The sequence below is a fragment of the Homo sapiens genome, chromosome 16 (assembly GCF_000001405.40).
Source record: "Homo sapiens chromosome 16, GRCh38.p14 Primary Assembly".
Taxonomy (NCBI): Eukaryota; Metazoa; Chordata; class Mammalia; order Primates; family Hominidae; genus Homo; species Homo sapiens.
This window is the reverse complement of record NC_000016.10, coordinates 29,206,486-29,234,216: the sequence shown is the minus strand read 5'-3', so window position 1 is coordinate 29,234,216 and position 27,731 is coordinate 29,206,486. Positions and strand designations below refer to the sequence as shown.

The following is a 27,731-nucleotide window of genomic DNA, read 5'->3' as shown; positions in this document are numbered from 1 at the left end:
GGAGTGGCATGGCCACAAGCCAAGGACACCTGGAGCCACCAGGAGCTGGAAGAGGCAGGAAGGATCCCCGGGAGACCCCCGAGGCAGCATGGCCCTGAGACACCTGGATTTTGGTCTCCAGGCTGAGAGGGAGTGAGTTCCACGGCTTTGGCCCCCAGCTCCTGCCTCCACCCCCGCCCCGTCCCCGCCCCCACCGTCATTTGTAGTGTTTTGATGCCGCAGCTCCGGGAGCTCACACGGGGCCCTGCTTCCTGGGCTGCTGTGGGATCAGGAGAGGAGGCAGGCGCGGCCCTCAGGTGACAACCCCAGGCACCTGTGTGCGGACTCGCTGACGGTGGTGGGGGAGGGCCCTGGGCACAGAGCGGGCGGATGAGTAACCCACCTGAGCCCTGAGGACCCCATTCTTCCTAGGCCCGGGTCTTGGCCGTGTCCAAGGCTGCAGCCCTGTGGGTTGGGGGCTCCTCCCTCCCTGGGGGGTTCCTCACTCTCCGAGCACCTGGGCAACTAGAGGCTGCTCCGGACTCACCCTTCACCGCCTCTGCCCCTCCCACTCCGAGCTTCAGACCTGCTCTTCCCAGCCCGTCTGCCCTTCCCACTCCGAGCTTCAGACCTGCCCTTCCCGGCCCCTCTGCCCTTCCTGCTCTGAGCTTCTTCTTTTCAGCCTGACTCACGTCCCCTGCCCCTGCTCCGATTTGACCACTCTCCCTACGCTTGTCACTGAGCACTGTACCTGGATTCGGTGGGGGCTGCCTGCACTGCACAGAGACTGTCACGGCAAAGGACAGGGCGTCGGCCGTGGCACCCGGCTCAGGGCCCTTCCCTCACCTCCAGCCCTCAAGGCCACCACGAGGCCCTCATCTCACCTGGGCTGCCGGGACCTGGCCTGGCCTCCCCTCTGGGGCTCTTGACCCCCGGCCCCTGCCGCTGCCCCTCATCACCTCCTCACCCCCAGTGCTGACCCAGAGCAGACTCAAGAGATGCAGGCAGAGGCTGAGGATGCTGCACAGGGTGAGGAGTGAGGCGCCCCCACCACCAACCGGCCACCTGGAAATGCAGACACAACGTTTCCTAAGGTCTCTTCCAGAAACTCAAAGTCCATTCTACACCCCGGAGCCTCAGGTTCTGAGATGCCTTGGACCAGATGTGCTTCCTGCGGTGCCAGAGCCAGCATCTGCCCCGCCCTGGGTCTGCCTGGGAGAATGATGATGGATAAGAGACAGGTGCCACAGACACCTCAGGGGCGCACCTGAGAGGTGCTGGCTGTGCTCCTGGGGATAGGTGGGTGCAGCTTATCCACGGGGGCACCTGGAATGGCAATGAGAGGACTTTAGGACCCACAGGCGGGCAGGACAGCCAGAGCCTCACTCTAAGCACCCCCGGTCCTGAGCCCGAGCCAGAGCAGCCTCCTGCAGCTTTGGGCAAGCTCCTGGGCTGTGTTCAGCCACTTCTGTACGTGGAAAATGCAAGGTTGGTGTCTGCCTCACAGTGCAGCCACCACATGACTGGTGTGGGGAACAAGGTGTGTGATCCTTGTTATAACTGGTTAATAGGAATGACAGCCAACACGGATTCGCAGGTGCTGTGTCCATGCCTCACACCACAGATGCTGAACCTGGCATTCCAGCCACTCTGGCCACTGCCCGTGGGGTGGCTGTGGAAACATGGCTACTCCTGGGGGGAGCACGGCAGGAAGTCACTAGAACCTCAGAGTTAGTGGAGGAGTCTCCTCCAGGCAAAAAGGGAGGAGGAACAGGAGGACACCCTGGACCCAGCAGGGTGGGCCCACATGGGAGCCCCAGGCCATCAAGAGACACCACGGCCCCCACCACCTGTGGGTTATCATTGTGAGCACACAAATGATAGGGTTCAGAGCTCCCCCACCCCTGCCAGCAGCCGGCGCCTTAGGGAACTTCTGGCCCTTCCCAGCCTCAGTTTCCTTATCTGTAAACCACAGGCCAACACGAGCAACGCCAGGCACTGGCATGTAAGGGCCTGCTCAAGATGGAGTTGCAGGGACACCCGGAGACCCCTGGGCAGGTGCAGCCTCACCCCACAGTCCACTCCAGGGCTGCAGGACTGCCGGCAGCCACAGCTGTCTGTGCCCAGCCTCCACGCTGAGAGTGGTGTTTTAACCCTTTGTTTTCATTTTTTTTTTCCTTTAATTTATTTATGAGGCAGAGTCTCACTCTCTCACTCAGGCTGGAGTGCAGTGGCGCAATCTCGGCTCACTGCAACCTCCACCTCCCAGGTTCAAGTGATTCTCCTGCCTTAGCCTCCCAAGTAGCTGGGATTACAGGTGCCTACCACCACGCCTGGCTAATTTTTGTATTTGTAGTAGAGATGGGGTTTCACCATGTTGGCCAGGCTGGTCTCGAACTCCTGACCTCAGGTGATCCACCTGCCTTGACCTTTTTAAAGTGCTGGGATTACAGGCGTGAGCCACTGCACCCGGCCAACCCTTCATTTGTAAAGGGTTATTTTCTTTAAAAAGAAGACACAATGCAGAGAACTAGAGTGAACTGCATTCACCTTCTGCCCCGTTCTGGAAAAGAGGTTGCCACCCCTGGTCCGGACAGGTAAACTGAAGCACGGGGTGGGGAGAAACTGCCGTTCAGTGGTGACAAGGACAGCACTGGGGACCTGGGGGGTGAGGATCCCCGGGACACAGAGGGGCCCAGCCTCTGGCTCCAGCCCGCTTGATGACGTGGTCCCAAAGAAAGACAGGAGTCAGCTGGCCCGGCCCTCTCGCCCACACACACTGGGGCCTGCTGCAGGCAGGGCCGGAGGTCCCCAAGGCCAGAGCCCACCGTCCAGTCTCCTGTGGCGGGAGCAGCCGGGGGCGGCCGGAGGAACGCGACCTGAGTGGGAGGGCGGGGACACTTTGCAGGAGGACAACAGAGGAGTTGTGGCTGCTCACACGCAGCTACTCAGTCTCGGCAGCCTCAGAAGACTTGGAAACACATCTTGTTTATTGGAATTCCTCTGCAAAGTCACATTTTATGTGTTTCCTCTTCCAGTGGCTTTAGAAGTGAGACCAGGCAGAGGGAACCAGCTGCTGGTCCCTGGTCTGGGCCGCCCCTACCTGACTGTGGTTTGACGTCCAGCCCAGGGCATTTGCAGAGGAAAAGCAGCAGCTTAGGCGGAGCAGGGTGAGGGCCGATGGCGCGGCGCCTTCTCGGGTTGCAGCCCGGCCTCCGGGGAAGACAGCTCAGCTGGGAGAGCGGAGAGACCGTAGGGGCTGGAGTGTGTTCGCTCCCTGCCGTCCTTCCGTTGCTGGCCACCGGGCAGGTGCGGTCCCTTCTGCGGTTCCTCGGTCCCCTATGGGGCGTGAGCATTGGAGCTTGTGGTTTCTCAGCTCCTTCCAGCTCTGAGGCTTCTGTCCAAGCAACCCAGGCAGTGCCCGGACACAAAAGATGTCCCTCATCTCAGGCTGACAGGGAGAGCTGGGCACAGGCTATAGCCCTTTCTCCGTTTCCCACTTCACCCGCTGGCTCCTGCTCAGCTTTTAACTTCTCCCCAGATGCCGCCTTCTGCATGAAGCCTGCCGGGGTTTGGCTGTGCCACTGCTGCTGACACACACCCCACTGCCGTGTTCTCTTCGGCCATGCCAGGCACTCCTCCCGTCGCCTGTCATCCTCCCCCCGGGGCAGGACCCCCAGCCCTCACCTGTTTGACCGTCCCAAAGCCGGGGGTGGGAGCGGGAGGCTTTTGGCGAGGTCATGGAGGGAACAGGGTGGTGAGCCCGGCATGAAGGGCCCTTGCTGCAGGGTCCTTGGCCCTGCCCGGTGGAGAAGGGTCATGGGACATGCAGTCCGGCCTCACCTTTGGAGTCTCCACCAAGACAGCCGAGGACTCAGAGAGGCTTGATCTGTGGGACAACGAACCAGCGCCTCTGCCTGAGCCCCCATCCCAACTCCCAGGTGGCGACGCTGAGTCCCTGGAGCCACACAGAGAGTGCTGGAATGGTGGTGTGACCTGAGGCTGCCCCAGCCCTATGGCCAGCACCGTCCTCCCTGCACCTGGCCTGAGGCTCTGTCCCCTCCCCTGTCCCCCCAGCCAAGCACCCTCTGTGGAACATAGAAGCCCAGTAACTGTAAAATATGTGGGTGGTCTGAGCCGGCTGGTTCTGGAGAAAAGGAGATGGGATGTTCACCAAAGAATGTCAGAGGAGAGCGGGCTGGGAGCAAGGGCGCCTTCACCAAACAATGGTTGGCACAGGAGGTGGGAGAGGAGTCCTCAGATCCACAGGCCATGGGGGCAGGTGGATTCCTTCCCAGCTGGCTGTTCCCACCTCTGAAGACCAGGGACATGTGGGCCGGCGGATTCTGCAGTGACTGGTGAGCCCTGACCTGCTTTCATTTGCCCTGTGCGGCAGGATTTCCCTTGGAAAACACCCTTTTGGTACTGAAAGTCACCTCTCTGATGAGCTCCACAGTTGGCTCTAACCTGTTCCTGCCTCCCGGGGTTGTCAGGTGCCAGGGCAGACCTCTGGGGACCCACTCACAAATGTGTCATCTGTCAGGCGGGAGGTGTCCACGCCCTTGACCGTGAGGTCCTCATTCCCATCTGCAGCCTCCTCGTAGGAAACCAGCAGGGCCCTCAGCTGCGGTCTGACATCTCCTGCCAGGTCACGGTGGAATGGGAACCCTGGTGGGATTTGGGGGAGGGTCGAGGGTCAGACTGGAGCACTGGGTCACAACCCACCTCAAACATGGCCTGCAGAGCCCAGAAGACCCCAAGCCAGGTAACAGAGAACATGAGGCGGCAGCAGCGCCTTGTCAAGCAGCCGCCCTGGAGTTGCCAGGGGCCCTCGCCTCGGGTGGCTTGCGGGGCTAATGCTGACCCAATGTGAGCCACACACAGGCTCACGTCTGCTGCATTTGTGCCTTGCAACGTCCCGGCGTGACCAGCAGAGCCATCGCTCTCTTTTTAATAAACAGAGAGTTGGTGAGGTTGTGAACTCTGTCCAAGACCACAGAACCACCATAAAACAAAGTCCAGGTTTCACAACTCCAAGGCCTGGCCAGCTAAAAACCCATTCTGCTCGCCACCCATCCATCAAGAAACCCGTCAGCCTCAAAGTACACACTCCAGCACTCACCTGCTTCGCCAAGGCCAGGTGGGCCTGCCCTGTCACTGCTAGCCATGGGTAGACATTTACATTTAAAGTGACAAGAATTAAATACAATTTAAAATTCAGCTCCTTAGCTGCACCAGCTGCATTTCCAGAGCTCGACAGTCACGTGTGACTCGTGGCCACCTTACTGGACAGTGCGGATCTAGAATGTTCTGCCATTGCAGGAAGTTTGGACAACTGCAATAGCCTCTGCCCAGCCCCCCACCGGAGGAGGCTTTAACACATGTAATGAGGGGTCTGCCGGGCTGCCCACGTCCCTCAGGCCCCTGCTCCAAAGTCACCCGCTGGGGAGGACGTCCCTGACCTCCACATCTGAGACAGAAGCCCCTCCCCACACTCTATCCTTTCACAGCTTTGTCTTCAGTGCACGTGATGTGGGATATGTCCTTCTATCACGCATCTCACCCCGTGCAATGCAGGCTCCATGATGGCAGGAAAGGGCTCCGTCCTCAGCCCCAGGGCTGGGCACACAGCAGGTGTGCCCAGGAATTAATCATTTCCAGACGCTGGCGCAGCACCTGGTGCCCAAAGCCATAGGCCTGGGAGCTGTGCAGGTCTTGCAGGCAGACGACACCACTTAGTGGACGCGATTTCTTCCCTGGTCCCACTGCCTGGTGCGTGCAGAGAAACTACTCCCAAGTGGGAAGTGAGTGGCTTGTTGAGGCTTGGGACAAAGCTCAGGGGTGTCCCAGGTGAACCCCCTTCTCTAAAACAAGCAGGTCCCTCCCTGCTCCGACACTGAAATGACATCACAGGGCACTGAGGACGTGGGGCCCGTCCCCGGCTGCTGCAGTGCAGTGCCACCTGCAGGCCGTGTGGCCTGAGCAGGCTGTGTCATCTCCAGGCCTGCAGTCTCTCGTCTGTAGGAAGAGGATGATCAGTAGCCCAGCCTTGGAGGTTTGTGTGGCGGAGGGGGGAATAAACCAAGTAACCAGGGGCGGGAGCTTAAAGAGTGATTGCACCAAGCCACATTCTGCAGGTGCTGGGCCACGCTGGGGCCTGAGTGTTTGTGTCCCTCCACATTCATTTGTTGAAATCCTTAACCTCAAAGTGATGGGATTAGGAGGTGGGGCCTTCGAGAGGTGATGAAGTTAAGAAGCAGAGCCCTCATTAATGGGATTCGTGCTTTATAAGAGGCCCTAGAAAGCCCCCTTACCCCTTCCGCCATGTGAGGGCGCAGTAAGATAACCATCTATGAGGAAATGGGCCTCACCAGACACTGACTCTACTGATAAGTTAATCTTGGACTTCCCAGCCTCCAGAACTATGAGAAAGGAACTTCTGTTGTTTATAAGCCACCTAATTTATGGGTTTTTTTGGTTTTTTTTAGAGACAGGGTCTCGCTCTGCCACCCAGGCTGGAGCACAGTGGTGAGATCATTGCTCACTGCAGCCTCAACCTCCTGGGCTCAAGCAATCCTCCTACTTCAGCCTCCTGAGTAACTGAGACTGCAGGTGCACACCACCACACCCAGCTAATTTTAAAATGTTCTGTAGAGATATGGATCCTCCTGTGTAGTGCCCAGGCTAATCTCGAACTCCTGGCCTAAAGTGATCCTCCAGCCTCAGCCTTCCGAAGTGCTGGGATTACAGGTGTGAGCCACCATGCTTGGCCTCCAATTTATAGTATTTTGTTAAAGCAACCCAGATGGACTAAGACAACTCTCATAATCAATATCATCATCCTTATCATCACCACCATCACCACCATCATCACCACCACCACCATCCACATCCACATGATGATGGCAGCCATGCTAAGGAGTCATGGAACCCATGTTAAAGGTATGGGAAGACATAGAGGCACATGGAGGAGAAGAAGGATGAGAACAATGGAGATGATGATGATGATGATAATCATGGTGGTGACAGCAGCAATGATAATGATGGAGAAGAAGCAGGAGAAGACGGTGGTGATGACGATGATAGTAATGACGGGACCTGGATGACGATGATGGCCGTGGTGGTGATGACAATGATGGTAATGATGGTGGTGATGATGGTGGTGATGATGATGATGGTAATGATAGTGATGGTGGTGGTGATGGTGGTGGTGGTGGTGATGGTGGTGGTGGTGATGGTGGTGGTGGTGGTGATGACAATGATGGTAATGATGGTGATGATGGTGGTGGTGATGATGGTGGTGGTGATGATGATGATGTGGTGATGGTGGTGATGATGGAGGTAATGGTGATGATGGTCATAGTGATGATGGTGATGATGATGAGGATGATGGCGCCGGTAGTGACGCCGGCGGCGACGCCGGTGGCACCTTTATCACCACCATCATCACCATCACCACCATCATCACTACCACCATCACTGCCATCATCATGTGATGACTCTCAATACTGTCCTCATCATGTGTGACTTGGACTGTGGACCAGCCCCTCGGGCTCTGCTCTGCTGACCTATATTCTTTGTCTCTTGTTCCTGAGAAGCTGGGAGTTGAGACCCAGTAAGGTGTTGTACAGACACTTGTGACCCCAAATTCCATGAGACAGAGGACCTCCCATTTTCTTTTCCTTATTACCGCATGTCATCTTCCTGCACAAAGTGGATAAGACCTTGATGTCTGTCTCCGTTTCCCAAAAGAGTTACCAAGGGGGTGTTTTCCGAACTACCTGGCTCAGACTTCTTTCCCAGCATGGCCTGGTGAGTGCCAAGGAAAGGAAGCTGAGGCTCTACCAGCAGCCTTAGACCTGACACAATGTCCCTGCTCCATCTCCCTGCAGGAGCCATGCTCACCCCGAACGCTTCCACCAGCTGAGGCTGCATGGTTTCAACAAGAGGAATTTGTTTCTCATAGTTCTGGAGGCTGGAATTCCAAGATCAAGGTATGGCTGACTTGGCTTCTGATGAGGGCCCTTCCTGACTTGCAGGTGGCTTCCCACAGTGTCCTCACAAGGTGAGAGAAGGAGCTCCAGCCTCTTCCTCTCCTTGTAAGGACACCAATCCCATCATGGGGTCCCAGCTTCATGGCCTCATCTAAACTCAATCACCCTCCAAAGTCCCCCCCTCCAAATACCATCACGCTGGGTGTTAGGACTTCAATATACAAATTTGAGAGGGAGACAATTCTGTCCATAGCAGGCCCCTGGGGTCCCCAGCCAGAGTAACCCCACAGAAGCTACCAGTAAATCTCCAAAGCCATCACCATAGCCCACCGAACATTTCACCTCTGCCTGCGTTCTGAGAGTGGGACTTGTTCATTGTTCTGTTTTAATTCTCAGCAGGGCCTATGACCATGTCTGATGTTCAGGGAATGAAGGAGTGAAGAAAGCAGGAATGAACGAAGGAAGGAAGCAGCTCCAGCAATTGGTTCCCAGGCAAGAAGCTGGTGGGGTTCTGACTTCTATCCCGATTCACACCCTTTCCTCCTGCCCTCAGGGCAGTCCTTCTCCTGCTCTTGTTCATTCATCCCCTTCAGCCCTTTCTTATTCTCTTCTGTAGCCGAACCACAAAAAATAAATACATTAGAAATGTTTTCCGAGCTCATCAGATGCATCATGTCTATTTCTCTGCCCCAGCCCAGTGGGGTGGGTGATGCCTTTGCAGCCCCCACTTGCCAGGGGCACCTTGTGGGCATCTAGATCTCCAGACCTCAAAGCCAGCACCCACCCAACTGCAGGGTGCTGTCTGCGCTGTACGCATTCTGAGAGCTCCGTGGCCTGGGCCAGCCCCAGCTGGAACCTCGGGTGCCCTTCACTCTTCCAAAAGAGGCTGTTTGCTTTCAAAGAAAGGAAAGAGTAGAACTGCAGACTGCATTTGGCTACACAGCCTGAGACTCCTGGGAACAAAATAACCCACACAAACAAAATCCACAAGGAGCCCCAAGCCTTCACTTCAATCCACTTGGCTCTCAACACCCTCCTGGTCTCATATTTTCCTTTCTGTCCTTCAGAGGAGGGTAGCTAATAAGACTTTGTCTCTTGCCTCTGGTAATTGTTTCCTAGTGCCCCTAGCACTGCTATAACAAATGACCACTGACTTAGAGGCTTCCAACCACACACATCTAGTCTCTCCCAGTTCTGGAGGTCAGAGGTCCTAAGGTCCAGGTGTTGGCAGGGGCTGGTTCCCTCCGGACACTCCTGGGAAGAGCGATGATGAACATCTATTGTTCTAAAGTCCAGTTTGTGGCAGTGTGTTACAGAGGCAACAGGAAACTGATACTCCATAGAAGTCAGTGGGAAAGTAAGACTGCAACAGGTCACAGCACTCCCGTTTACACAACATACTTCCTTAGTTCAAGCCAACACCCTCCGCTGTTGAGTTCTCCAACAGCCTCAGCTTAGCCTCTATCTCAGCCTACCAAATGCAACAGAGATGCTTCTAAGACACACTCTTGCCTGTGTTGCTTCCAGCCTGGAGTCTTCAATAGCTCCCCATTGCCCTTAGTACAAACACTGATCTCAAGCATGCATTGTGAGGACGTGGCTGTGTGTGATCCCTGGATTTACTTCTCCAGTGCATGCTCTTCTCCCTCTCCTTCCTGTCCTCCCTCCTCCACCTCCTGAACACAAACCTCCACTAGTTTCACAAACACGCCACCTGTCCTGTTGTATAAGAGGGTGAGTGCCTGGTGTGGTGCCGGGTGCATGGTGGGGCTGTGCTGGGACTGAGCAAGGTGTCACCTCTGGTTCAGCCACTACCCAGGCAAGTGCCCAGGGTTTCCACTTTTCTCCTCTAAAAATGACAATATTGGGCCTGAAATTAGCCTTAATGGTCTACCCCACTCCTGTGAGTTAACAACAATCAAAACATTTTGGGCCAGGAAAAAAAGTTGCCCAGAAAAATGAGAAGGTTTTGGCCTCGTGTATCCAGATTAGCTGTTTGTGTGGACTGAGACCCATCCACTGGTCTAAAGCCCCCAGCCCCATGTATGGGTACCCATTTTGCAGCACAAAGGGTCAAGACAAGACAACAAGAGAGAGAAAAGTAGAGGAAGTAACAGGGTGGGTGGGGTGGGAAATTGTGATAAGGATCTTGAAAGTTCCCCAGAGTCTGGTTGCCTCCTGGTTGGTTAAAATTTCTGTGCGTTTTTCTTTTCTTTTCTTTCCTTTTCTTTTCTTTTTTTTTTTTTTTCCGACACAGTCCCACTCTGTCACCCAGGCTGGAGTGCAGTGGTGCAATCTCGGCTCACTGCAACCTCTACCTCCTGGGTTCAAGCGATTCTCCTGCCTCAGCCTCCCAAGTACTTGGGATTACAGGTGCCTGCCACCATGCCCAGCTAATTTTTTGTATTTTTAGTAGAGACAGTTTCATCATGTTGGTCAGGCTGGTCTCCAACTCCTGACCTCAGGCGATCCACCCACCTCGGCCTCCCAAAGTGCTGGGATTACAGGTGTGAGGCACTGTGCCCAGCCTGTGCCTTTTTCTATGGCAACAATTAGCACAGAAAACAATTCCCCCATAGGAGCATTTCCCCAGCACCCAACCTCGTGCCTGGCATACAGTAGGAGCACAATAAGTGCATGTGGAATGGTGGATAAATGAACGTGCCTAGTGCTTTTCTAGAGAGCACATCCCAGGGGCATGCAGACACGCATGTCCAGGTGTCCAAATATCCTTCCCCAACTCCAGTCAGAGAGAGACCATGAGAGACCCCAGCTGGGAAGAACCATCACATCCCCCCATCAGAGACCCCGGTTGGGAAGAACCGTCACATCCCCCCATCAGACCTTTGCTCCCCTTCTCCTCTGTGGGGCTGACACCCAAGCATTACCATCCTTATCCCTCCAGCTCTTACTTCTGGTGCTATCTGGAGACATGCATTTGGGTTGTTACGATCAGAAGTGACAGTGGCAGCTCTGCACTTGCGAAGGTCCAATAGATGTATAATTGAGTCAGTGCAGCCGACTGCGTTAGGAGCTACACTTCCTCGAGGCTCCAGAGGCTCTCTACAGAAGGCCAGTGTATAAGCAATGTCCTTTCAGTGTTTTTAGTGAGACATCCTCCCCTCATTGGGGAACATTCTAGACACAAGGTTTGAGAAAGAAGGACCTTCCTTTCCAAAAGGGAAAAAGGAGGCCACATTTGGCTTACTGAGCATCCATTCTAAATGGCATTTGAGGTGCCTCCTACGTGCAGAAGCAGGTAGTGACACAAATGCAGAAGGAGTGGTGCATGGTGCCCACACCGGGGACTAGCATCTAAGGCTGTGCTCCTCAAACTCCACAGACAGGTGCCCCCGGAATCTCGTAGACATGTAGATTCTCGTGCAGTGGATCTGGGCAGGGGGAGGGTCTGCATTTCTAATGGGCTCCCGAGGGCTACAGAGGCAGCTAGCCTGGACTGGGATCCATGTTCCCAGCCTGGAGACCCGTGGCACTGGCCATCCCTGAGAGTTTGTTTGATATGCAAGTTCTGGGGCATCCCAGACCTCCTGTCTCAGAATCCCTGGCAGTGGTGCCTGGGGACCCAGGTTGAACAGGACTCCCAGAGATTCAGATGCTCTGGCAAGTCTGAGCACCATGGGGGCCAGACCATGGCAACAGCCCATCCAGGAGCTGCACTTCGCCCTTCCTGCATGCTGTAAGATGTCATTAAGCAGCCCATGCCCCACTAGGCCAGGCACAGCCTCAGAACCCTCCAGGCAGCAGTCCAGGCCCCCAGGATGATAGTACGACACCCCAGGTCTACACAGACACTAAGGAGACAGCAGATGGTCCCCCAAGATGTGCTAGATGCTACCCAAGTGAGATGCACAGTTACACGGGTGCTCGGTCCGGGGAGGGAGCAGCCTGTGGTGCTCTGGGGGAGAGGAGGTGTTGGGGTGTCACAGGAGAGGTGAGACGTGATCTGGACCTTGGAAGGAAAGGAGGAGTTGTCCAGGGCAGCAAGGAAGGGCACCCCAGGCAGGGGTCACGGCACTGGCAGAGGCACAGAGGTGGCAAAGCTTGTTGTTTGCTTGGAAACTGCGTGAATCAGCTTAGGGCCAGGCCCTGAGCTCCAAAGTGGAGATGGGGTTATGGGAGGAGAACTGGGGAGCAGGGGAGCCAGGAGGCTGGTGTGAAAGACAGGGCCCGGGATGCATCCCAGGAAAGCCCCTGCCTACCCGCTTTTCTTCCCAGGCCCCTTTCCTGAGACCCTGCTGGGGAAAAAGAGACAACAGCGCAGGAGGAGGAGAGGGCAGTCAATGTGATTTCAGACACTCCAAGATAAACAGGGAAACTAAGAGTTCAGACTCGTTACATTGGCCATGGGAAAAATCACCATTAGGCACCGCATTTTAATACAGCATTCTGTCTGGTTTTGATTTCACAGATGTAAAAAAAAAAAAAAAAAATGCAGGCAATCTGGAATTAAGTTGGACTACTTCCAACTGTTTCTATAAACCACATTTGGGATTCTTCCAGCATTTCTGAGATTCAATTTACAGAGATTTCTTCAAGTCAAAAAAATAAAAAAGAAAGAAAAAAAGAACCTAAATACCCTCTGTGGGGAGCAGTTGTTGGGGTCCCGGCTGGTGCCATGTTCCCACAAGGGGCCTCCCTGTCCTAGTGTAATTGGCGTAATTCACACTGTTCTGATTACAGAGGGCCTGTGAGATGTTGCATTTAGGAGCCATTCCGGAGGTCTTCCTTCCTGCATGCAATTTCATCTGCATTTTTATCAACGAGAATTTTGCTGTTAATAGAACGTGTGTTCTCATGCTGACCGTGAAACTGAAGTCATACACCTGGGCAGCTGCTGGGCCCACATGTGCTAGGTTCTGCGGGGTCTGGTCAGATCTGGGAGGCCTAGCTTGGAGGCGGCTTTCCTAGGCCACCCCAGGCAAAGAAGAGCTGCTTCAGGGTCCCCAACCTGCGCCACCCGCTCAGGGCTCCCCCCACCAGGTGAGCTGGACCCTGGGGGTCTCCACAGACACCTCAGCTAGTCCTGACCTGCTGGCCAGACGCCCACCAGCCCTGCCTTCCAGAGGGCCCCGCTACATCGTCTTCATACCCCAGGGCCTCCCAGCCGCCCCACCTGCAGGGCTGCTAGAACTTTCTCCCGAGACAAAGCCTGCCATTGTGCCTCCCTGGAGCCCGTCTCTGCAGTGGGGGGCAGGGTGTGTTGAGCGTCCCGGGTCCAGTGTCTCCGGCGTGTCCTGCATCTCGGCAGCCAGCTCCTCTGCAGCTCAGGCCCCGTGAGTCACAGCCGCTTCCTCAAATGCTTTGGCTGACCGCATCCCCCCGCTCCGCCAGAACCCTGGATGCCGGAGCCCTCCCAGCGAGAGCCGTGTTTATTTTACTTTACATACATTTTCCAACCCGGAGCGGCTTCAACACATGCAGCTCTTAGGCCCGGGCCGCACATCTCAGAAGCCCCGTGTGCGACTTTGACTGCCGCACGATCCTCTGCCGGGGGAGGTGGGCCCGCTGCGCTTTGGGAGCACCCGCGCCCGACACTGAGGTCTCGGTGCTGTCTTCGGCCTCTTCGCCCCTGAGGGTCCCCTCTGGGAGCAGAGGCGGTCGGAAAACCCTGGGGCTGAAGTGCAGGCTTCGGGAGGACGCGACCTGCCAAGATCAGCTCCCGGCACGTGATGGGAGCCTGGCTCACCTTCCCCCAGCACACGATGGGGCTGCAGCCTCCCCGGTCAGCCTGGCCTGCTGGAAAGGAGCAGCTCTGTCTCCAGAGGCTTCTGGCGAAGCCCATGGCCTCCCAATGTTGGCTGATTTATAAGGAAAGAGGGGAAAGGCCAAGTGTGGATGCCATTAGCATAACCTAATCCAGACCCCATGACAAGTCCAGGATCCTGCAGGGAGAGGGCATCCTTGAACGTGAAGGACTGGGTTTGGAAACTTGGCCTCCCGGAAGAAAGGTCTCCGGGCCCACCCACACCCCCCTTGTGGACGCCCCCGCAGTCTAATACACTCCACAGTAAGACGGACCAGGAACAGCAGCAGCCTCCGGTGTCGGCCCAGTGATCCGGGAGCTCAGAGTGTAGGTACCTGACGGCTTGACTCGTCCCCAGGACAAGGCCTGTGAGTGGGAGAGGGGCACTCTGAGTGTGCGAATCTGTGAGAGTGTGTGTGTGTCTGGGCACGAGTGTGTATGCGTGTGTGTGCATGTATATTCACATGTGTGAGGGTGTGAATGTGTGTGTCTGTGGGTCTGGGCACATGAGTGTGTGTGTGCATATACTACATTCACGTGTGAGTGTGCAAATGCGAGTGTGTCTGTAGGTCTGGGCACGTGTATGCGTGTGTGTGCGAGTACTATATTCGCATGTGTGAGTGTGCGAATGTGTGTGTCTGTGGGTCTGGGCACACGAGTGTGTATGCGTGTGTGTGCATGTACTATATTCACGTGTGTGAGTGTGCGAATGTGTCTGTGGGTCTGGGCACATGAGTGTGTGCATATACTATATTCACGTGTGTGAGTGTGCAAATGTGTGTCTGTAGGTCTGGGCACATGTGTATGCGTGTGTGTGCGAGTACTATATTCACGTGTGTGTGAGTGCGAATGTGAGTGGGTGTGGGTCTGGTCACATGTATGTATGCATGTGTGCATGTATTATAGTCATGTGAGTGTGCAAATGTGTGTGTGGGTCTGGGCACACAAGTGTGTATGCATGTGTTTCTATTGTATTCATGTGAGTATAAGTGCAAATGTGTGAGTGTGTGTTCTCTGCACACACAAGTGTATAGGTATGTGTTTGTGTGTGCATGCACTGTATTCATGTGAGTGTATGTGAATGTGTGACTGTGAGAGTTTGAGTGTGCCTGGGTGTCTGGCTATACTAGTGCATGTCTGTGTTCGTGTGCATCAGTCTGGGTGTGCCCGTGTGTGAATGTGTCTATGCGTGGGTGTCCCAATATGTGTGTGCCTGTGTATCCATGTCTGGGTGTGCCTGTGAGTGTGAGTGTGCGCATGGGTGTCTGGATATGTGAGTGCTTGTGACTACCTGTGTGTGTATCCATGTCTAGGTGTGCCCGTGGGTGTGAGTGTGTCTGTGCGTGGGTGTCTGGATACGTGTGTGCCTGTATGAGTGTGTATCCATGTCTGGGTGTGCCCACGGGTGTGAGTGTGAATATGTAAGTCTTGCGTGTGCATGAGTGTGTTCACATGAGTGTGAGGGTCTGTGCATAAGAGCCTATTGTGAGTGCATGTGGATTGCATTTATGTGAGTCCGTGTCTGTGTGCACGCACGTGTCCCCGCACAAGCCAGCCCGAGAGGGAGTGTCCCCTGAACACACCCTGGCAGCACTTGCAGCGTGATGAGGTTGAGGGAATGTGTCGCTGAGGTCGTAAATGCCTCTCGCACGTCCCAACACGCTGGAGCAACAGCAGCCCGTGATGCCGGCCGCGCAGCCGTGAAGTCCGTGGAGCGTCCCTAATCACTGGGGGTTCTGCTTTGCGGTGACAGCGGTGCTACTCACAGCTCCAGAACTCTGCAGCTTCCCCCCTGAAACGGGAACGGGAAGGTGGCGCGGGCGTCCACACCTCGAGCCACAGCCGGCGGGAGGCACAGGCTGGCAAAACTGCCTCTCAGTAGTGAGAAGAGACAAACAAACCGAACGCCAGGAGCAGAGGAAACGAAGACGATGTGGCCAAGAAAAATTGCATTTTTCTTTCCAGTTTTGCTAAAATAGCCTTCTCATTGGCTGCGGCTTTGGAGGTGGCAGAAATCATACGTTTAATCACGGCGCCCTCCTGCTTGCCAAGGTTAGCAGGGGCTGTACTGCTGTGCCCTCCTGTCCCTGGAGGCTCTGGTGGCCCCACTCCCCACACTGCCAGGCTGGGTGCCACGCTGCCGTGACCCCGGAATTCAGCCTGTGGTGATCGGTCTTCCCTAGCACGGAGCTGAGTTAGGGGCTCTAGAATCAGTCCCAGCCACGTGAGGCTCTCCCTGGGATGTGAGGGTCGTCTCGTCTGTTTACACGGGGGCCACAGTGCAGATCCCAGCCCGGGCAGGGGAGGGGCAAATCTATGCCCACTTCAAGCTTCCACTTCTGCCCGCCTCAAAGTGCCGGAGACTCCGGCACCTCTGCGTTCCTCCTTCCCGGTAGGAACAGAAAGCTGGGAAAGGGCTGGGGTGGCAAGGAAGAGCCCCAGGAAGACGGGAGTGGCTCTCCCCACTCCCTAGAGGACCTCCCTCCCCCAAGCCCATGGGCCGCCTTCTCCAGGGACTCTTCCCTGTCCCACCCACCGGGCAAGGTGGGCCCAGCAGGGTCTCCTTTTCACCGTGCGCCCCCTCCTGTGGCCGGGTCCTGGGCTAATGACCTCACATGCTGCTTTTACAAGTCAGGTTTATTGCGGTATCACGTACACACATAAGGCTCACCCGTTTTCGATGTACAGCCGACGACTTGGTAAGGGTCTAGAGTGGGGCACTTCTGCCCCGACAGAGGCAGCCCACATTTTGCCCCTCTGCAGTCAGGCCCCTTCCCGGCCCCCAACCACCACCTGTCTCTCCTCGCTCCTACAGCTTTGCGTCCTCCAGAATTGTCCTGTGAGTGACTCCCGCAGGATGGAGACTTTTGTGTCTGGCTTCCTTCACTTCGCAGCAGGCTTCGCGGGACCCGTGTGGTGGCACCAGCGTCCAGCCCTTGGTACTGCTGAGTTGTAGGTTGTGGGACAGGTGGAGGTACCACAGTTGCTCACGGGTTCACCTGTGGATGGGCATGTGGGCTGTTGTGAGTGAAGCCACTTCAGACGTTTGCGTGCAGGTTTGGTGGGGACGTGCAGTTTCATTTCTTTTGAGAGTGGGATTGCTGGAGCCTATGTTAAGGGTACGTTCAACTCATCAGCTCAACTGTCTTCCAAATGGCAGCCCCGTTTTCCACCCCCGCCAGCAACGCCCGCGACTCCAGGCGCGCTGCATTTTCATCAGCACCTGGCAGTGGTGATTCATAATGCTTTAAATGTTAATTTCCCTCATGACTAGTGATGTTAAACATCTTATTAAACATCTTAGGTATTATTTCATGTGTTATTTCAAATCTTTTACCTACTTTTTAGTGGATTATATTTGTCTTCTTAGTATTGAGTTCTAAGAGTTAAATATTGTGGGTACAAGTCCTCTATCAGAAATGTGTTTTGTAAATACTTTCTTCTAGTCTGTGGTTTGTCTCTTCGTTTTCTTAAGTATGTCTTTAAAGAGCAGAGGCTTTTGATTTGGATAAAGTTCAGCTTGTCAGTTTTTTCTTTTAGGGTTATGTTTTTGTATCCTATCTAAGAATCTTTGACTATCAAATTCTCACAAAGCAGTTTTTTGTTTTCTTCTAGATGTTTTACGGTTTTAAATTTTACCTTTAGGTCTACAACCATTGTGATTTAGATTTTGTATTTAATGTAAGGTATAAGTTGAGATTCATTTCTCTCTGTTTTTGGAGACTTATGTCCAGCTATTCCAGAACCATTTGTTGGAAAGAGTATCTTTATCCCAACAAGTTATGTGGGCACTTTGTTGAAAAAGATCTATTGACCATATATACATGCGTTTATTTCCAAGACTCTATTTTGTTCTGTTGACCGACTTGTTTGTCCTTATGACAATATCACACTGTTTTGATTACAGTGGCATTATTGTACCTCTTGCAAAAATCAAGTGTGAATCTTCCAAAGAAGATTTGGAAGATTTTCTCTTTCAAAGTTGTGTGAGTTATTTAAGTGCCTTTTCATTTTCATATAAGTTTAGAATTAGCTTGCAGTTTCTAAAAGAAAAAAAAAAAGGCTGATGAGACTTTGATTGTGATTCCATTGGATCTATAGCTCAGTTTGCAGGGATTTACATCTTAACAATACTGAGTCCTCAAATCCATGAACATGGTACATCTCTCCATTTATTTAGGTCTTCTTGTATTTTTTCTCATCAACATCTTATAGTTTTAAGTAAACAAATTTTGCACATATTTTGTAAGATTTATCATTAAGTATTTCATGTTTGTGATGTTATGGTGAATATTGTTTTTAAATTCAATTTCCTATTGTCCACTGCTAGTATACGGAAATACAATTGGTTTTCATACATTAACCTTATGTCCAGCAACTTTGCTAAATGTATAAGCTCTTACACATTTGCTGGTAGATTGTTTAGGATTTTCTACATAGATGATCATGTTGAGTGCATATAAAGGCAATTTTATGTCTTATTTCCAATCTGCATGCCTTTCACTTCTTTTCCTGGCTTTATTTCAGTGGCTAGAACCTCTAGCACAGTGTTAATAAGAGTGATGAGAGTGACATTCTGACTTTGTTTCCAGTCTTTCTGCTTTGATCATTATCATATTCTTTCTTTTCCTTACTTCGAATTTATTGTGCTCTTCCTTTTCTAGGCTTTTAAGGGTAGAAGCTTAGATTACTGATTGGAGAACTTTCTTCTTTTCACATATATACATTTAATGCTATAAATGTTCTTCCAAGCACTGCCTTGCCAGCACCTACAAATTGTCATATGTATTTTCTTTTTTGCTCAATTAATTTTTTTTTCTAATTTCTCTTTGGATTTTTTGATCTATGAGTCATTTTAAAATATGTTCTTTAACTTCCAAATATTTGAAGAGACATACTATTAATTTCTGGCTTAATTCTGTTGTGGCCACATATTTCACATAACTTCACTTTTTAAAATTTGTTGAGATCTGTTTTATGGCCTGGAATATGGTCTATCTTGGTGAATGCTCCATGTGCATTTGTACAAAAGTGTGTATTCTGGCCAGGAGTGGTGGCTCACGCCTGTCATCCAAACACTTTGGGAGGCCGAGGCGGGTGGATCACGAGGTCAGGAGATCAAGACCACCCTAGCCAACACAGTGAAACCCCGTCTCTATTGAAAATACAAAAAATTAGCCAGGCGTGGTGGCGGGCACCTGTAGTCCCAGCTATTCGGGAGGCTGAGGCAGGAGAATTGCTTGAAGCTGGGAGGCAGAGCTTGCAGTGAGCTGAAATCGTGCCACTGCACTCCAGCCTGGGCGACAGCGAGACTGCGTCTCAAAAAAAAAAAAAAAGTGTATATTCTGCTAATATTGAAAGTATTGCTTAATAAATGTCAAATCAATCAATTTGGATGATATTGTGATTCAGGGTTCTATATCCTTACTGGTTTCCTGTCTACTTGTTCTATAGCTTACAGAGAGGAGTATTGGAGGAGTATTGAAGTTTCCAACGATACTCAGGGATTTTTCTATTTCTTCTTTACTTTGTGATCCATGTGTTTTGAAATTCTGCTGTTAGGTGCAAGCATATTTACAACTGCTATATTTTCCTACAGAATGGCACTTTGTTTGTTTGTTTGTTTATTTTTTGAGACAGAGTCTCACTCTGTCACCCAGGCTGGAGTGCAGTGGGACCATGTTGGCTCACTGCAACTTCCATCTCCTGGGTTCAAGCAATTCTCCTGCTTCAGCCTTCTGAGTAGCTGGGATTACAGACACCCACTACCACGCCCGGCTAATTTTTTTATATTTTTAGTAGAGATAGGGTTTCACCATGTTGGCCAGGGTGGTCTCGAACTCCTGACCTCAGGTGATCCGCCCACCTCGGCCTCCCAAAGTGCTGGGATTACAGGTGTGAGCCACCGTGCCTGGCCAGAATGGCACTTTCAGGATCATATAATGTATCTATTCATCTCTGGTAATATTCCTTGTTCGGACGTCTATTTTATCTGATACTAACATCTCTGCCCCAGCTTTCTTTTAATAGTTCAGAATATAACTATTTCTGTCCCTTACCTTCAATCCACTTATGTTTTTATGTTATTTTTTTTCTTTTGTAGACAGCATAGAGTTGGATCTTGTTTTTATATCTACCCAACCTAAAAATCTGGATATTTTTATTGGGAAGTTGAATTTAAATCTACCACCTTGACACTTATTTTGTATTGTCTCATCTGTTCTTTTTAAATAATTTTTCCTTTTTTCTTCCTTCTATTGGATCAAGAACTTTTTTTAAAGTGAAAGCCAATTTATTAAGAAAGTAAAGGAATAAAAGAATGGCTACTCCATAGGCAGGGCTGCTGAGTATTTTTTTATTATTTCATTTCATCTTCACTATTGCCTTGTTATACCTCTTAGTGTAGCTATTCATGGTTGCAATAGGGCTTATGATAAAGTTACAGCTGTAGCTTCTCAGTCTGCCATTACACAATATTCTACCACTTCACATACATGTAGTAACCTGACAGCAGCGCCTGTACTTCCTGCCTCCCATCCTTGGTACTGTTGTTACCACAGATTTGCTTCTGCATGTTACAAACCCCACAATACACTTTTCCCGTCTTTGCTTCAGGTAGTCAATTATCTTTTTGTTTGTCTTTGGATATCTTTTTAAAGATATAATCCACATACGTAAAATGCACCCATTTAAAGCATGCAGTTCCAGAGACCAGAGGTTCTCAAACTCTGTATGGGAATCACACAGGTTCCTGGTAAAAGGCAGACTTCCAGGCCCCTGCTGGAGTTTCTGACTCAGCAGGTCTGGGTGGGGCCTGAGAATCTGAATTTATAGCAAGTTCACAGGTGAACATTTGTGTGGCTATCAAGGGACACCTGGGGCCGGGCAACTTCTAAAGAAAAGTGGTCTCTTTGGCTCACAGTTCTGCAGGCTGTACAAGAAGCCTGGCAACAGAATCTGCTTCTGGTGGGGCCTCAGCCTGCTCCCACTTAGGGTGGAGGGTGAAGGGGAGCCATGTGTGCAGAGGGCACAGTGGGAGAGGAAGCCAAAGGGAGGGAGGGGCCACGCTCTTTTAACACCTGGCTCACGCAGGAACTAATTGAGCAAGGGCCCGCTCATGACTGGCAGGTGGGGTCGGCAGGAAGCCATTCCTGAGGGATCTGACCCTTGACCCAAACCCCTGTCCGTAGGCCTCACTCCAACACTGGGGATACATTTCAACATGAGATGTGGAGGGGACACACGTCCAAACCACAGCACCAGGCAATGCTTACACTGCGGGTCTGGGGCCCACTCCGAGAATTACTGCTCCGGACAAAATTACACACACGGACCATGCACCCACCCACAGGATCACACGCCCGTCTTCGGGTTGGGGGTGCAGGGAGGACGGGTAGAGATGTGTTGGGGTGCAAAGGAAAAGTCCTCATGGCCCACATATGTGCTCTGACCCCGTGGCTCTGCAGAAACCCATGAAAGAGGATCCTGAAAGAGCAAGGGCAGCCTCCAGGTGAAGGTGGTGGGCGGCCTCCAGGTGAAGGCGGCCTCCAGGTGAAGGTGGTCAGCACCCTACCTTTGGCCAAGAGCAGACTGCAGTTTCAACTCAAAGATTATTCCTGAATGAGTGAGTGACTGCATCTCTCTTCTCCTCACCCCTGCTGTGGTTGTGTCTCCTCTTCAAGAAAAACCAATATGTGGAAAGGCCTAAGTCTGCACAAAACAAATATTTATTTTACAAAATATTGTTTTTTGCTTTTCCAGTGCAGCAAGCTTAAACTTCCTTAAAAACAAACCTCTGGGAAGAGGAAAATGAGGCAAGATGCTGAGAAAAAGTCATCTCCCACTCTGCCCTTCTCTGGCAAATCGAAGTGTCCTCTTGTGGGAGGCGGTGGGCAGCGACACTCCCGTTGGACGTCAGTGCTCTCGGGCCCGGCCACCCCGGAGCAGAACTCACTTAGGGCCTGGTGCCCCTGTGCCCAGTTCTCAGAATGTCGGAGTGCTCAGTTCTCAGAACGCCGGAGTGCCCCATTCATAACCTGCAGCCCCGTTCATAGCCTGCAGCTCCCCTCCTTCCTCTCCTCCTGGTCTTCAGGGAGCACCCCCAGCTCCCCTCCCCACTCTCAAACCCTCCTCCTCCCTCCCCTCTCTCAGTTCCCTGTTTGCAGGATCTCCTCCTGCCCACTCTCCAGCCCAGGTCCTCCCCTCTCATCTCCAATTCTGCTTCACGGGCCATGACAGCAGGCAGGCCATGGCCTGCTCTCAGCAGTTTGATCGATGGACTAAGGAGATCACTCCTACGAGAGTGAAAAAGTCAAGTGTGCCTGAGATTCGGATGGGGAGCTCTCAAAGCTATGGATTGCAAGAGTCAACACCGCCTCAAAAGTACAAGGCCGGCCGGGTGCAGTGGCTCACACCTTTAATCCCAGCACTTTGGGAGACTGAGGTGGGTGGATCACCTGAGGTCAGGAGCTCAAGACCAGCCTGACCAACATGGTGAAATCCCGTCTCTATTAAAAATACAAAAAAAATTAGCCAGGTGTGGTGGTGCATGCTTGTAGATCCAGCTACTCGGGAGGCTGAGGCAGGGGGAGCACTTGAACCCGGGAGGTGGAGGTTGCAGTGAGCCGAGATTGCGCCATTGCACTCCAGCCTGGGCAACAGAGTGAGACCCTGCCTCAAAAAGATAAAAAAATAAAAGTACGAGGCCCGGTTTAAATGCAGGAGGAATCTGGTGAGCGAGTTTCACTCTGATGCAACAGAAAAGCCAAGCCAAGCCTTGGCTGTGCCTGATCTTGGCCGGGGAGCCACAGGCAGGGTCTGCTGGTTTCGGTGTCAGGGGCACATCGCCAGGACCACGTGTGAGATGGGAAGTGCCTTGATGGAAAACTGATACCTTTTTCTTTCCGAGTAACTTTAGAATATGTCGCTTCAAATATAACTAATATCCTGATTTCAATGGACTTGCATGGAAGGAAACGCAAGTTCATTTGCCAGTGGGGGGTGAGGACTGGGAGAGTGGGGAGCAGGGTGGGGAAGAGGGGACCATTCCACAAGCTGCAAGAGCCTGGACACCTCCAGCCTTCAATAAATAGCATTTGAATTTGCTGTGCCTAATTCAACCTTGCATTTGTGTAGTGAAAGTCAGGCCCACGGTGTGTATAGTTTGGCACATGAGTTCAGCTCGGGTCCCCTTGATCTGCTTCTATGTTCTCACTCTCTCCCTGCCCGGCATGCCCCTCTTTTTCTATCCAGATGAGCGAAGGGGTGAATTAGTCCAGAAATGTTTCTGCTCCAGTCAAACAAACATTATCACCTGTCAGTCAAACATTATCACCTGTCAGTCACCAGAGACGTGCACAGGTGCCTTCTCCTTTGCCTCGAGGTTTCTATGACCTGGGAAAAGCCCATCCCATTCCCGGATGAGGCTTCCCTGCGACCGGCCACAGACACACGAGCTACGCCCCGCCTTGCCAAAACTTTCAAGGTGGGATGGAAGAATCTGTCGTTTCTGCATTTACGACCCCGTACGTGTTCCGTGCTGCATCTGTTCTGGTTGGGTTGTCTCTCCTCTCAAGGCCTCTTTTGACCCAAACTTACTGCAAAGCAGATGAGTGAGCCAGAAGCTGCGCTGGGCGTTGGGGGTTGTGGCAGAGGCTGGGGCTGTATGTGGGCCGGCAGGCCACGGGCCGACCCACCGCAGGCAGCTTAGCAACCTGCCAAGGACAAACACATGGTCATCATGATAACAACTTCCCCACCTTCATTTTTTTTTCATATTTCTTTGAGTTTCAAGATTGAGACTTCTTGTAGCAGCTCTTTAATTTCATGGGAGAGAGGGTGGTGTGTGGAGGCCGCCATTGCCTCTCTGCTATCCAACGCCCTAGTGGAGAAGCTCCTGGCAGGGGCTGGAGGCATGGCCTGGCCAAGCTCCTTGGCACTGCAGAACAAATCTCCTTCTTTGACGCCTCTGAAATGTTGATGGAAAGCACACGGGTGTCCCAGCCAGCTCCCCCAGGCCCAGGTCCAATCCATCATGTTCTCTGCACTGCACATCTCTGGGTGGATGGCCTCAAGGAGCAGCGCCAGTGATGTCAGCTCACTCTGGCATCTCCCAAGACAAAAGCATCCCAGGGTGGAGAGCAGGAGGCCCTGCGTGATGATGGACAGAAGGCTGGAACTTGTGAGCTCCGTGCAGTCTGGTACTAATAACTCAGGATCCCCATCTAATGGAAGCATTTTATGAGCTTCGGTGGGTGCAGGGTGCCAGACGTCCTCAGGCCATCAGGCTGAGACCCCCCAGCCCTCTGGGAGTGGAGTAGCCCTGGGGTGGCAGGAGGCAGGTGGGAACTTCTACAAGCAAGAGGGCCTGGTTTGAGTCAGCTTCACCACACACTAGCCACCTGGTGTTTCTGAGCCTATTTGTCGTCTATGACTTAGGAAGGATAATCATACAGATTAAGGTAGGATAATTCCTAGATCATCATAGAGATCAGGGCAGTGTCCTCCAACTCCAGAATTAAAAGGACCAGTGAAACGGATTTCCTCTGTTTCTGTTTTACTGATTCTTCCTTTTTTTCTCTTCTCCTTTCTGGGTGGTTGAGTTTAATTTGCTCTTCTTTCTCTAGTTTCTCAAGGTGATAACTGATTTGGGACCTTTTTTCTCTTCTAACATAAGCATTGAATGCTATACATTTCCCTCTGAAGTGCGGCTTTAACTGAACTCTATACAGTGTGATGGATTGCATTTCCGTTTTCATGCAGTTCCAAATATTTTCTAATTTTCTTAGTGATTTCTTCTTTGAAACATGAGTTATTTAGAAGTGTGTTCTTTAATTTCAAATATTTAGGTAGTCTCCAGACATCTTTCTGTTACTGATATCTAGTTAAATTAATCCTCTTGTGGTCAGAAAACATATATTGTATGATTTTAATCTTCTTAAATTTAGTGGTATCTATTTCATGGCCCAGAATATAGTCCACTTTGATGAATGTTCCATGTTTATTTTGTGGTTAGAGGGAATTTTCTGTAAGTGCCAATTAAGGAAAGCTGATTGGTAACGTTCTTCAAGTCTTCCATATGTTACTGACTTTCTGTCTGCTTATTCTATCAGTTGTTGAGAGAGGGCTGTGATGACTTTCTGATGTGTCTGTTGGTGAGGTTACAGTCCCAGTTACCCAATCTAAATCTATTCTAGGTGCTACTGTGCAGGGATTTTGCAGGTGTCACTAAAGTCTATAATCAGTCCATGTTAAGTAGGGGAGATTATCCTGGCAGGGCCTGACTTAATCAGTCAGAAGATCTTAAAAGCTCAGTAAGCCTTTCCCAAAGGAAAGAAGAAATTTCTCCTATGAACAACAGCTCCAGCTTGTGTCTGTGTCATGTCAGCCCATGTTCACACTTGCAGACAGCCCTCACAATTACATTAGCCAATTTCATTTACACACACACACACACACACACACACACACACGGTTGACCCTAGAATAATGCAGAGGTTGTGGTGCCAACCTTTGCACAATTAGAAATCTGCAAATAACTTTTGACTCCCCAGAAACTTAACTACGAATACCCTACTGTTGACCAGTAGCCTTACCAATAACAGAAATAGTTATTAATACATATTTTGTATGTGTATTATATACTGTATTCTTACAATAAAGCTAGAGAAAAATATTATAACCATAAGGAAGAGGAAATATATTTACTATTGGTAAAGTGGAAGTAGATCATTGTAAAGGTCATCATCCTCATTATCTTCACATTGGGTAGGCTGAGGCAGAGGAGGAAGAAGAGGGGACTAATCTTGCTGTATCAGGGCTGGAAGAGGTGGGAGGAAATCCACCTATAAGTGGACCCTGCAGTTCAAACCCATGTTGTTCAAGGATCAACTACAGATAGATGATAGATAGATAGATAGATAGATAGATAGATAGATAGATAGATAGACAGACAGACAGACGACAGACAAATTCTGCTCCTCTGGTTACACTCTGACTGAACTGATACAGGGGTACTGAAGCCTCCAGCTATAATTTTGAATTTCTCTATTTTTCTGTTCAGTTCTATCAAGTTTTGCTTCATGTAAGTTAAGTTGTATTTAAGAATGTACATATTTAGGATTTTGTGTCCCCTTCATGAACTGACAACTTGATCATTATGAAATAACTGTCTTTATCTCCACTAATATGCTTTGCTAGCAAATCTCTTTTGTTTGCCATTAATAGAGCCACTCTATCTTTCTATTGATTAGTGTTAGCATGATATATCTTTTTTCTACCCTCTTACTTTTAACCTACTTGTGCTTCATATTTAAATTGCATTTCTTGTAGGCAACATATACTTCGGTCTTCCTTCTTTACTGTATCTTACAATTGTTGTTCATAATTTGGAGGTTAGATAATTTACATTTAATGTAATTATTGATTATGTTTGATTTAAATTTATCTTCTTGCTATTTGTTTTCTATTTTCCCCCATCTGTTCTTTCTTTCTTCTTTTCTTCTTTCATGCCTTCTTTTAGATTAATCGAGGGTCTTATTTTTAATGATTCTCTTTTATCCTACTATTGAATTATTAGCTATCCCTTAATTTTTAATTTTTATTGAATGTTCTAGAGTTTATAATATGTATTTTAACTTATCACAGTCTACTTTCAAATGATATTGTTCCACTTCACAGAGGGTAGGAATCACTGAGTGGTGCACTTCCATTCCCCCAACCCTCATTCTTTGTGCTATTATTGTCATACATTTTACTTCCACATATACTATAAACCCCAAAATAAATTGTTTTAAACAGTGAATGATTGAGGAAAATGCATTTATCTATCTTTTGCATTTATCTCTGTAATTACTCTTCACTGATTTGTGTCACTCTAAATTTCCATCTGGAATTATTTTTCTTCTGCTGAAAGAAGAAAAATAAAGAAATGTTGAAGGAAGCCTTTAACATTTCTTGTAGAACAGATTTGCTGACAATGAATTCCATCAGTTTTTATTTGTATAAAATAGTCATTATCTCCAATTTTGAATGATATTTTTACTGAGTTAAAAAAATCATTCTTGGCAGGTTCTCCCCACCTACTGCCTCCTTAGCATATTACAGATGTCTTCCCATGTCCTTCTAGCTTGCATGGTTTCTGTCAAGAGATCTGCTGTCTCTCATATTTTCTTCCTCTATACATAATATGTTTTTTCTTATCTGGCTGCTTCTAAGATTTCTCTTTATCACTGGCTTTCAGAAATTTGTTTATAACATGCCTTGATGTGGCTCTTTTGGTATTTATTCTACATGGGATCTATCAAGCTTCTTAGATCTGTGGGTTTATACTTTCCAACAAATTCAAAAAACGTTTGGCCATTATTTCTTCAAAACATTTTTCTGTCCCTGCCTCTCTTCTCTTTCTAGATCTCCACTTACACACAGACACGATGCTTTGATATTATCCCACAGGTCACCAGTATCCTGTTTTTGTTTTTGTTTTTTAAGACTTTTTTCTCTGCTTTGATTCGAACAGTTTCTATAGCTATAGCTATAGTTTCTCTAGCTTCAGACTCAATGATCTTTTCCTCTATTCTGTGAATCCCATCCAGTGTATTTTTCATTTCAGGTATTAAATTTCTATCTCTAAAAGCTTCGCTTGTGACCTTTTATATGCTTAATTTCTCTCCTTACATGACCCTGTTTTCTTCCTCCTTCTTGAACACATGGAAAACATTTTTAATAGCTGATTAGCATCCTTGTCTGTGAATTCCATCATCTGTCACTTATGATTGATTCCCACCCCCACTCCCACCTCCAATTATGGATCTTAATTTTTTGCATATCTTCTTATTTTTGACCAAATGCCAGACATCGTGAAAATTCATTGTTGATTTCTGGCTTTTGTTGTACTCCTTTGAATAGCGTTGGACTTTATGTGCAATGAAGTTATTTGGAATCAGTTCGATCTTTCTGAGACTTGCTTTTAAATGTTGTCAGGGTGGGTCCAAAAC

General features: G+C 50.3%; 2 long non-coding RNA genes across 4 annotated transcripts, besides 3 other annotated features; both read left to right on the top strand.

Annotated features, from left to right (window-relative positions):
- Positions 4,446-4,637: a silencer, noted in NCBI's record as "fragment chr16:29240901-29241092 (GRCh37/hg19 assembly coordinates)". NCBI's record gives its function as "represses an EF-1alpha promoter that drives an FKBP-Casp9 reporter gene in an ReSE screen in K562 erythroleukemia cells {active_cell/tissue: K562}" and the evidence as "EXISTENCE:reporter gene assay evidence [ECO:0000049][PMID:32094911]".
- Positions 5,694-8,634, top strand: LOC102723708 (uncharacterized). Of its 3 annotated transcripts, none has more exons than NR_188601.1 (3): positions 5,694-6,034; positions 7,872-7,973; positions 8,373-8,634. It is a non-coding gene; the product is annotated as an uncharacterized LOC102723708 (long non-coding RNA). The 3 variants fall into 3 exon arrangements; NR_188600.1 differs by having other exon boundaries at positions 8,370-8,634; NR_188602.1 differs by lacking the exon at positions 7,872-7,973 and having other exon boundaries at positions 8,370-8,634.
- Positions 11,898-12,398: an enhancer, noted in NCBI's record as "H3K27ac hESC enhancer chr16:29233140-29233640 (GRCh37/hg19 assembly coordinates)". NCBI's record gives its function as "activates a minimal SCP1, AML or CMV promoter by ChIP-STARR-seq in primed H9 embryonic stem cells {active_cell/tissue: H9 hESC(primed)}" and the evidence as "EXISTENCE:reporter gene assay evidence [ECO:0000049][PMID:30033119]".
- Positions 12,706-13,275: an enhancer, noted in NCBI's record as "H3K27ac-H3K4me1 hESC enhancer chr16:29232263-29232832 (GRCh37/hg19 assembly coordinates)". NCBI's record gives its function as "activates a minimal SCP1, AML or CMV promoter by ChIP-STARR-seq in primed H9 embryonic stem cells {active_cell/tissue: H9 hESC(primed)}" and the evidence as "EXISTENCE:reporter gene assay evidence [ECO:0000049][PMID:30033119]".
- Positions 13,405-22,851, top strand: LOC101928188 (uncharacterized). The gene is made up of 4 exons (NR_188555.1): positions 13,405-14,064; positions 16,553-16,676; positions 21,204-21,361; positions 21,499-22,851. It is a non-coding gene; the product is annotated as an uncharacterized LOC101928188 (long non-coding RNA).
- Positions 22,852-27,731: the final 4,880 nt, after the last annotated feature.